Below are 11,791 nucleotides of genomic sequence, written 5' to 3' on the forward strand. Positions count from 1 at the left end.
TAGTCTCATGAAGGGTGTTCCAGCCAGAGAGGAGCCAGAGTTGACACTTACATACACAAGTGGGTAGAATAAAGTACAAATGTTGTTAATGTTTGTAAGACACTACATTCTGGTTTTGTTCTTTGATTTTAAGGTTGAAGAATTTTCAGAGAAGCCTTATTAGGGAAGACTTCTCTTTTATATGAAAGTTACCTCATTGTGTCCTCTCCTAGGCAACAATAACTTGAGTGTGAAAATCAGCTGGGATCCCACATTGCTAAGCATTTCTGAAAAGGGATCTTTAATGTGGCACTCCGTAAAAGAGTTAAAAGATTTGTTGAAAAATGACCACATCCATGCTCTGTGAAAAAGAAATATAGGCAATTTATGAATTTTATATTCATGACATAATGTATAACAGGTTTATTCACATTGATTCATTAAGTAAGTGTGGAGTGAGGCATGTGTCTGGTACTGTCCTTGGTGCTGATGCCAGCGACACGAGCAAGAAGAGTTTGTGTCTCACGGAACTACAGCCTAGTGGAGGAGACAGACATTACTCAAGTGTAACTGGATATTAAAATTGAAGTTTCAAATAAGGTATCATAATACATTCCAAAATGAGTTGTCAGATCAACATTTGAGTTTTAAAAGTTTCTGACAAGCCCCTTCCCTAAAGGAGACCAAAAAATGGGCATTGAATAGTTGGAGAAAAGGAGAGGATTTGAAAGGAGGATTTCTTACAAGCGAGCATTGTCATAAGCTTCCCCACAATAAGGAAGGATGAAGGTGCTTTTCTCTTCATCCAAGCCCCAAAAATGAGACCTTTAATGTGACCACTTGGAGATCTGATGTGTATTCCTGCAATTATAGGGAACAGTAATGTATTTCACAGGTCTGAGGACTCTAAAGGTAGCCTAAGCTAGAAGAGGGAGGGAAAAGAGAGAATTGTGCTATTTTTGAAACTAATTGCTCTCCCTTTCAAAAATATGTCAAATGTACAAGAATTCAAGGCATACAAATTTCATGTGTATCAATTATCTATTGCACAAAAATGCTGCATAAAAAACAGCCACAAAACTTCTGTGGTGTAGAACATAAAGGATTTATTTTGATCAAAAGTTTATTGGCCACCTAGGATGTTCTTCTTGTCTTTGCTGGGATTGGCTGATCTTGGCTGATCTTGGCTGGGTTTGCTCCCGCATCTACAGTCAGCTGGCGGGTTTGCTGTAGGCTGGATAGTCCAGAATGGCCCCAGTTAAACAACTCATCTTTCTTCCGTATGGTCTTATTCTTTAGCAGGTTAGCATGGGCTTCTTTATGGGAGTCAGATCCAGTTTCCAAGAGAAACTGTGAAGAAATTGCAAGCACCATGAACAGACTATTGGTGGAAATCTTGACTTTAAGAATGTTGATGGTGAGTGCTGAATAGAAAGTGAGAAACATGTTACTGAAAATGGGAGAAAGGGAGATCCCTGTTATGTACTGGCAAATGCTTATCAAAATTGTATTCTGTAGTCATGTAGAAAACATAACATGTAAGTGATAAATTTGGACGTGTAGCTAAGGAAATTCCCAAGCAAAGTGTTGAAGGTGTTACCTGGCTTCTTTGTATTCCTTATAGCAAAATACAAGATCAGATAGATAAATTGAGGGAAGAACTATTAAACAAAAAGGAATTGGAAAGACTTTGGAAATTCTCAGCCTCTCCAGATGTCAAAAGATGCTAAAAGTCCAAAATGGTTGCTGAAAGTGTGAAGTAGAGAAAAGTCTGAGTTTGTGACTGTATGACCCTTTGCTGAAACCTCAGATCTCATCTAAATATTTCTAGTTGAGAAGGACAATATCAAAAGGTCAAAGTACTCGACTACACAGTAACTTTCCAAGCGATAAAGAGTGTTCTTCACAGATATTCTCAATCAAACCAAAGGGCCTCAAGAAGTTTAAAATCATTGTCCTTCATCCATCTCAGCAGAAGCCAAAATTACATTATCTTGAAAATATTTGTGATGTGGCTCAAGCATAATGGAATAAACCCTTAAGACATCCACAAGAGATTCACAAAGTTCTTGAGAACATTATATCAGCAGAAACACTACCAACTTGATTGAAGTGGACAGAGACAATGCAACACAAAGGAAGGCTTTCAAACCTCCAAATTTCCACTGGTTCAAAGCAGGCTGATAAAACTACTATGCTTCAACCACTTGCTATCTTTTATGAAAAATGAATCACTTATAGGGCAGAACCAAGAACCAGAATGCAGAGCCAAGGGCCCACAGAGCAAAGCCAAGAGCCATGGAGGATTATTCCCAGGGCTTGAAACCTAAACAAGGAATTTTGGCTAAGGTTTTCCTGGCTAAATTTCAAAGCTGCTTTGTACCAGTGACTTCATTTTTGCCTTCCATTCCCCATCTACCAACCCTTTTGAACCAGAATGTCCATAACTATTAATCTACGCATGGTCTTGCCATCATATGTTGAGACAGTTGGGAGCAGATGACTTGTCCCTTTAGTTTCACAGGTCCACAGATGGAGGAGAATTGTAACCCATGAATTTGCATACTCCATGAAATTTCATAAATCATCATCATTTGATTTAAATTTTGAGAATTTAGACTTTGACCAAATGAGATTTATTTTTTTATTGTGGCAAGAATCCTTAACATGAGATCCACCCTCTTAAATGTTTAAGTACACAACTCAATATTGCTAATGATAGACATGATGTTGTACAGCAGATTTCTAAAATGTATTCATCCAAAGAAGACATACAAATGGCCAAGAGGTATATAAAAAATGCTCAGTATCACTAATCATCAGAAATGTGCAAATCAAAACCACAATGAGATATCATCTCTCACTTGTTGGGATGGTTGTTATAAAAACAACAACAGACCAGGCGCTGTGGCTCATGCCTGTAATCCCAGCACTTTGGGAGGCTGAGGTGGGTGGATCACCTGAGGTCAGGAGTTCAAGACCAGCCTGGCCAACATGGTGAAACCCCATCTCTACTAAAAATAAAAAAATTAGCCAGGTGCGGTGGCATGCACCTGTAATCCCAGCTACTCAGGAGGCTGAGACAGGAGGATCACTTGAACCTGAGAGGTGGAGGTCACAGTGAGCCAAGATGGGGCCACTGCACTCCAGCCTGGGTGACAGAGTGAGTCTCCATCTCCTTATAGAGAGAGAAAAAAAAACGACAAAATGTGGAGAAGTTGTAACCATTATACACTGTTGGTGGGAATGTAAAATGGTGCAGCTGCAGCCACTGTGGAAAACAATAGGTAGGTTCCTCAAAAAATTAAAAATATAAATACTATGTTATCTAGCAATCCCACTCCTTCTGGGTATTTATTCAAAATAATGTATATCAATATCTTCTTCAAGAGATATCTACACTTACACGTTTATTGCAGCATTATTAATATTGTAGCCAAGATGTGGAAAGAATCTAAGTGTCTATCAATGGATAAAGAAAATGTAGTACACAAATATACATGGCATATTATTCAGCCTTTAAAAAATAACAAAATTCAGCCATTTGCGACAACATGGGTGAATCTGGAAGACATTACACTAAGTGAAATAAGCCAGCCATAGGACAAATACTGAATGATTCCACTTACATGAAGTGTCTGAAATAGTCAAACTCACAGAAAGAGAGTAGAATAGTGGTCATCTGGGGCCAGAGAGGAGAGGAATATAGAAAGTTGCTGAGCTAATTTGGATGTAATTTTTAATTTGAGTTGATGCTGCAGTGGATTGAGACTCCTGAAGACCTTGGGAAAGAGTAAGTGAATTTAGCACATGGAAGAGATGTGAATTTGGGGGACCAGAGGTGGACTGTGGTAGATAGAATCCTGAAATAACCCCCTAAGATATTTCATCCTATTATCCTTGGTATTGTGACTATGATGAGATAGCATACCCATAATTATGTAATAATACATAGCCAAAGGGATTTTTTGATGTAATTCGGTTACTGATTAGTTGACTTTGAGTAATAACAAAAGAGATTATATGGGTGAGCCTAATATAATCATATGAACACTAAAAGCAGAGAGTTTTCTTCAGCTGGTAGCAAAAGAGGAAGTCAGTTTCAAAGCATGAGAACTTGACACACAACTGCTGATGTGAAGATGGAGGTCACATGACAAGGAATACAGCGGTCTCTGGAAGCAGAGAACAGCTCCTGGCTGATAACCATTAAGGAAACAAGGACCTCAGTCCTACAACTGCAAGGAATTAAATTTGTCTAAAAAAACAAATAAGCTTGGAATAAGCTTCTTCCCCAGATAACAGCCCAGCCTGGCTGACACCTTAACTCTAGCTTTGTGAGTCCCAAAGCAGATGAACAAGCCAAGCCCACACTTCTGACCTAAAGAAGTGTGAGATAATAAATGGCTCCTGTTTTAAGCCACTATGTGTGTGGCAATTTGTTACACAGCAATAAGAAACCAGGACAGCCTCTGAAGGCCTAGGCTCAGAACTGACACACTGTCATTTCTGGAGTATTTTACTGGTCAAACAAGTCAGAAGGCCAGGCCAGATTCAAAAGGTGGGAAGATAGAACTCACCCCAGGAACATTGCAAAGGGCTTAGATTCATGTAGGTAAAAACAGCTGGGGACAGCCTGCCACACAAAATAGGAATGTTGACTTGGGGTTATTTTGAAAGGAAACCTGCTTAATAAGAGAGTTTCTGCCAGAGAGTAAGGAGACCCTACCAGTGGGGTGAAAAGCTGGGAAACCAGAAGCCAAGGGAGTGGTGGGAGAAAACAGTTAAAGGAGGGTCATGAGATGGGTCCACCTGCTGCAAATATCCACCAGGCCCAGAGAGGCCAAAGCCATTTGACAGTAGTGCCAGTACCAGTAGAACTTTTTGGTCTTCCCCCGCTACATGGTCATATCCAAAAGGGTGGGCTAATCCCTGGACAGGCCCACTGAGCTTAGGCTCTCCTAGGTCTTTAATTCATTTGCTTGTTTATGGATTGGTCATTTTTATATAAGAGCAATTGAACTGGGCTTGTTTGATTTTTGCCAATATTGTGTAACCCAGATGGCACCAGTGACATAGTAAAACATTGTGCCCAGAACTTGGAAATTACAGCTAGGTGGTTTAGGTTGCTAGATGCAGTTTTTCAACCATATCAGATAAAGTGGAAGTTCTGCTGGAGTTTGAGGGTGGCATGATTGAAGCATGAGGGGCTTGCTAAACCCCACCCCCTTGACTTCTGCTTCTCCCACAGTCTGGCAGTACTCTGAACTGGAGGAGAAGAGCACCGTACCAACAAAGTGCATTTCTCAAGAATTCACAAGCCCAAATAAACACATCAGGGACTATCCTTCAGTCTAATGTTTCCTGTTGATAACATAGGCCTAGAGAAAACTGTTACTTCGATAATATTCGTGTGTCAGAGCTCTGTATTTGCCAAGTCTTTATCACCTTCCTCTGTAGGACAACATCAAAGGATCAGAAACAGCTTCTACCTACTAGAGAAGGTGAGCTGTTCCCTGAAAATACGTCACAAATCATGCTTATTCAGCCCAACAGTTACATGTTTGATAGGTATGAACTCCTCTGCACACTCAAGGTAGAAGTTTTTTATTTCTTAAACTGGTTGGAACCAGCTCCCCTAAACTGGTAGAGAGACTAGTACCACATTTTGGAGGCTTCACTGACATCACTCATTAAAGAACCCTTGAGCTTACACAGTGCAAAATGGCAGAACCATCGAATTCCACTTCAGGCTGGAAGAGCTCTGTCTGGTGTCTGTTGAACTGATGTTATCTTTACTGCCATTGGTTTGTGCTGCCTGTATTAGGCTGCTCTTGCGTTACTATAAAGAAATACCTGAGGCTGGGTAATTTATAAAGAAAAGAGATTTAATTGGCTCACAGTTCTGCAGGCTGAACAAGCATTGTGCCAGCATCTGGTTGGCTTCTAGGGAAGCCTCAGTGAGCTTTTACTTATGGCAGAAGGTGGAGCCGGAGAAGTACCTCACATGGCCAGAGGAGGAGCAAGAGAGAGAGTGGAGGGGGTAGGGTATATATTTTTACACAACCAGATCTCACAAGAACTCACTCACTCACTCACCAAGCCATAAGGGATCTGCTTCCATGACCCATATACTTACTACCAGGCCCCATCTTCAACAATGGGGATTACATCAACATGGGATTTGGGAGGTGGGACATCCAAACTATGTCACTGCCACGTGCTGGTCCTCCACCACATATTCAGTGCACTGCTCAGCTATAGAAGCAACTGCAGCCATCAGTGGTAAGCTCAGCAACAGATGCACTTTACTGAGACTTCCAGGCCACTGCTACCATTTTCCATCCCTCACAGACACCCACAGAGCATTCTCCAGAACTTTGCCATCTCAGAGGTGATGGCTATGCTAGAGTGCATTAGGCATCTGCCTTTCAAAGAATCTACTTCCAAGTCTTGATTTCAGCCCCATGCACATACACTTGTAGGTTGGGCTATTTTATTTTCTAACTCTCCAAATTCAAAGGTTAATTCCCCCTCTCAGTCAACTCAATAAGATTCATTGCCCTGATAAGCCAAGAACGGGATCTTAAACTTGAAAATAAAAATGTTTGAACCTCCTTTTAAAGAAAAAAAATTTCCCAGACTTCCAGGATTCAATTATGGAATCTACACAAAAGACATGCTATAAACTGTCAGCCATTCGGCTGAAATGAAATTATTGCTCCCACTACGATTGTAATGAAGACTGCCACAAGATCTTTTTAAATTTAGCATAACCTTGCTTTGCAATCAAATTCTTCTACCACTTTGCTCCATTGTTGAGCAAACTGCCACCACGCAGTGCACCAGAATACTCACCAGCTTACCCCTGCTGTGAAGGATCACTTATAAATTAAATCCACCTCATTCTTTAGTTGGCCTGATACCAGCAGGATCATAAACACAATGAATAAGGACATTGAAAAATCACAAGGCAGGACTCAGTTATCTTAAAAATCCATAAAATGTTTGCATTAATATATTTAGCTACTGTCTAAATGAAAACCTCCAAATTTTTCATTTCCAAAGAATCGTATATATCACAGAAATTATCATAGTTAAATCTTTAGCAGTTACCTCCATTCTATGTTTGATAATTTTCTCTTTTTTTGATGGAGTCTCACTCTGTCACCCAGGCTGGAGTGCAATGGCGCAATCTCTGCTCACTGCAACCTCCGCCTCCCGGGTTCAAGTGATTCTCCTGCCTCAGCCCCCTGAGTAGCTGGGATTACAGCCACACACTACCACACCTGACTAACTTTTGTATTGATCATTTTCTAATAATATCAAGAAAGGGAAGTACAGGATGTGCTATGATGTGTTCTTACTGTGCAGCAGCCACCCAACTTCAGTGGTATATAATGATAAGCAGTCATTTTGCTCACACATCTGCAGGTTGGCTGGGTTTTACCTGATCTAGGTTGGACTCAATTGGGTGTCTCTAAGCAGCAGGTTGGATCCAGTTCTGCTCCATGTCTATTTTATCCTCTTTGGACCAGTGGACCAGCCATGGCATGTTCTCATGAAAATGGCAGAAGCAAAAAGGAACAAGAAGAGGCATATTAGGCTTCTTAAATCCTTTTGGGAACCAGCATCCTGCCACTTCCACTGGCCAAAAGCAAGCCGCATAGTCAAATCCAAAGCTAATGGGCTGGGATGCACATTTCACCTTAAAGGCAAGAGTTGTGAAGTCACATGGTGTGTTAGTCCATTTGGATTACTATAAAGTAATACCTAAGACTGGGTAATTTATAATGGAAAATGGTTTATTTGGCTCATAGTTCTGTAGGCTGTACAGAAAGTGTACCACCTGCATCTGCTCAGCTTCTGGTGAGGGCCTCAGGAAGTTTACAATCATGGTGGAAGGCAAAAGGAGAGCCTGTGTATCATATGGCCAGAGGGAGCAAGAGAGAGGGGAGAAGCCAGTCTCCTTTAAACAAGCAGCTCTTGCATGAACTCACCAAGCAAGAACTCACTCATTAACATGAGGAAGGCATCAAGCCATTCATGAAGGATCCATCTCCATGACCCAAACACCTCCCACCAGGCCCCACCTCCAACACTGGGAATGACATTTCAGTGTAAGATGTGGAGGGAACGAACATCCAAACCACGTCACATGGCAATGGGTCAGGATACAGGGAAGGGTGAAGAGCTGAGACGGACAATTCCATCTGCCACCTATGACCAGGGAACTTCATCTATTCTGGGGTGGCAAGAAAGCCTTTCCTGAGGAAATGAAATTTTGGCTGAAAAGTGGGAGGCGGGCAGGGAGCAAGGGTTACCATGTAAAGTAGAAGGAATAGCATTCTTCCATAGGGAATAGCATCTGCCACAGTCTTGAGGCAAGAGGACCATGGCACATTAAAAAAGGGTGGCAAGGATGATGAGAAACAAGGCACAGGAGAGGAAGCAGGAAGGCAGTCAGGAGCCCGAGGGGGTGGGGCCTTACAGGCCATGCCAGTGGCTTTTGACCTTTATGGGCATAGGGAAATCATTGAGAAGTTTTAACCAGAGAAGTGAAATTTTGCATTTGAAAACTATTTTCAGCTTTATACAGCAGAAACATCAACTCAGAATGGCTTAGACAATAAGAAAATGTATTACATGACTAACACAAAATTGGAGCCCCTCCAAGTCGGTAATTCAGTAACTCTGAAACAACGCAAGGGACAAAGCATTCCCCAGTTGCATGTCATCATTTACAATAGATCAGCTCTGTCCTCTCCTTAATTCTTTTAAGTCCCAAGATGAATACATAGGTTCCAGACGTCACATGCAGAAATGACAGTGTCCAGGTGAAGAAATGATCCTCTTCTCCCTCCTTTTCAGGATTAACAAAAAACTTTCCCAGAAACCTCCAGGGGAAGTGACATCTCATTGGTCAAAACTAGGTTACAAGCCCACCCTTGAACCAATCCCAAGTAAGAAGAATGAGACTGCCATGACTGACTTGGACCAATCAAGACCTATCAGCTAGAGTCGTTACGTAACAAAGACAAAACTGTGAGGGGGAACGGCTTCTTTCAGCAAAACTGTGATGTCCACTAGGAAAGAGGGACTTGGCACATGGCCAAGCCCAGAATTAAGGGTAGAAAAATACACCCCAACTTCAGTGGGAAGGAATGCAGAGCTACATAGCAAAGAGTGAATACAGGGAGGGGTAAACATTTGGACCCATTAATTCAATATGCCACCATACTTCTAAACATTCCCATCGACTGGACACACATACACACACACCCCCACACACACGGCAAAATTATCCCATTCTGTGGCATTGAACACATAGCAAATTGTGTATATTTCTCACATGAAACATGATTGCATACCACCTTGTCTTTATTATTGCATTAGTCTCTACTGCTACTATAAAAAGTTATCACAAACCAAGCGTCTTAAAAAACATATATTTATTATCCAACAATTCTGCATGTCAGAAGTCTGACATGGGTCTCACTAAGGTAAAATCAACGCGCCAGCAGGACTGTGTTCCTTTTTGGATCCTCTAGAGCAAAATCCATTTCCTTGCTTATTCTGATTGTTCAAAGCCAGGTTGAGCTCCTCTCACATTTTGTATTTTTCCTTCCTTTTTTCTGGTTCTCACATCTCTCCAATCTTGTGTGCCTTCCTCTTCTTTTTTTTTTTTTTTGTTTTTGTTTTTGTTTTTGTTTTGTTTTGTTTTGAGACGGAGCCTGTAGCCCAGGCTGGATGCAGTGGCGTAATCTTGGCTCACCGCAACCTCTGCCTCTCGGGTTCAAGCAATTCTGCCTGCCTCAGCCTCCCAAGTACAAGTAGCTGGGATTACAGGCGCATGCCACCACACCCGGCTAATTTTTTTTTTTTTTTTTTTTTTTTTTTTTTTTTTTTTTTTTTTTTTTTTTTTTTTTTAGTAGAGACGGGGTTTTGTCATGTTGGCCAGGCCAGTCTTGAACTCCTGACCTCAGGTGATCTGCCCACCTCAGCCTCCCAAAGTGCTGGGATTATAGCCACCTCGCCCGGCCCCTCTTCACTTTTAAGAACCCATATAATGACATCAGGCTCACCTCGGTTATTGAAAATAATCTCCCTGTTTCAGAGTCTCTTGCCTTAATTCCTTTTGTTTTGTAACCCAGCATTTCACAGCTTTCACGGATTAGGATGTGCACATCTTTGGGGGCCATTATTGTACTTACTTCAAATTTATTAAGCAACTATTAAATGATTATTCAGCTTCGAGTGTGTCTCTCCGAGTCTTTTGAGAGCACTGTGAGTTTAGAGACTGAGTGTAAATGTTCCTGTGCTCTCCACCTAACCACTCAGTAACAATGTGGAAAAAAATGAACCTGGTATACAGGAAAGCTCTAATATCATTTAAAAGGGAGAGTTTTATCTAAGTGGTCTATTCCTAACACAAGAGATAAATCCTACTGTTTAACACGTGACATGGTTCTGTCTTTTACCTGGATAACTGTACCAGCAATAGCCCAAAAGGTATCTGTGGTAGAAGATACTACACTAAGGAGGAACACAAAAACATGAACATTTTATTTGCTGTCCCCTGTAAGTACTTACAAAACATTTTGGCAGAGACCAAGGGGAAAATATAACATCTTAATGAAAAAGGCTCAGTGGGAACCCCTGAAATCTATCAATGCCACCTAGGGGGATTTATAACAGAGGGTGAAAAAGGCTCTAGGCCAGTTTCTGGGATGCTAGCATATATTTGCTTTGTGGTGAATGAGCTAATGCAGGGTTTCCAAGTGCGCCAAACAGATGACGCACACACTGTGAGCTTACTTACCATGTCCTCAGGGGACTTTGTCCAAGAATTCTCCAAGTCTCCTTCACCTAGACGTCTAAATCTGCTGGGAAAGAGGGGAGAACCAAGTGACAGATGGAGAGAAACTCCAGGATAGCACAAAGCAAAGGATGCAGAGTCAGAAATACACCCACGGAGAGAGGGAGCAGAGGAAGAAAACGACAGGGAGGCACTGAGACCTCGAGAGGTGGGGAGGGGAAGGGAAAACCTCATCAACACAGGAAACAGAAATAAGTAACCCCTAATCTGCTCAGTCATCGGTTCTGGTAAAGCCCCTTTAAATGCTGAGAATCATTTTAAAGGAAGGTAAAAGCTGCTACGGTTCATGGAGTACTTAGTCATTCCATTTGAAACATTTTAAGGAGAGTAATCAAAAGCCACTGCAGTGGGAGATACAAGAATTGGGTTCCTGCTCCAGGTCAGCCATAGAGTATGTGTGCAGTCCTGACAGTTTGCATCCCAAGGCTCGGTCTCCTCATCTTTATATGATAGAGGGATTGGCCCGGGTCAGGGTCCCCAACTTGTGATCTACAGCCCCAGAATTGAGGGAATTGGTAAAATTTGCATAGAAAAAAATTTTATTTTTGTCAGCATCCAACTGAAATTCAACATGTCCTTCAATGATGAATGTAGGCAATTAGTATTAATACCATCCATGACTGTCGCCAATAGAAATCACAGACGTTTTATGTCACATTAAGGATTCTGCAAATATTTTATAATATCTTTTATTCTCATTACTACTTAAAAACTGAAGATTGGCTGGGTACAGTGGCTCGTGCCTGTAATCCCAGCACTTTGGAAGGCAGGAGGACTGTTTGAGTCCAGGAGTTCGAGACCAGCCTAGGCAACATAGGGAGAGCGTGTCTCTATAAAAAAAATTTTTTTAAATACAAAAATTTCAAAAACTGAAGTTTTTAAACCTGTGTCTAGATCTTATTTTTAATGTGCATTCATGAAACACATATATGA

The 11,791-nt window shown here is 41.4% G+C and overlaps 1 long non-coding RNA gene across 1 annotated transcript; it reads right to left on the reverse strand.

Annotated features, from left to right (window-relative positions):
• Window positions 1–1,065: 1,065 nt before the first annotated feature.
• LOC105372510 (uncharacterized) lies at window positions 1,066–8,821 on the reverse strand. Its single transcript, XR_937214.3, has 3 exons — window positions 8,725–8,821; window positions 7,430–7,537; window positions 1,066–1,329 (listed from the first exon to the last, which is right to left on the reverse strand). It is a non-coding gene; the product is annotated as an uncharacterized LOC105372510 (long non-coding RNA).
• Window positions 8,822–11,791: the final 2,970 nt, after the last annotated feature.

The sequence above is a fragment of the Homo sapiens genome, chromosome 20 (genome assembly GCF_000001405.40).
Source record: "Homo sapiens chromosome 20, GRCh38.p14 Primary Assembly".
Taxonomy (NCBI): Eukaryota; Metazoa; Chordata; class Mammalia; order Primates; family Hominidae; genus Homo; species Homo sapiens.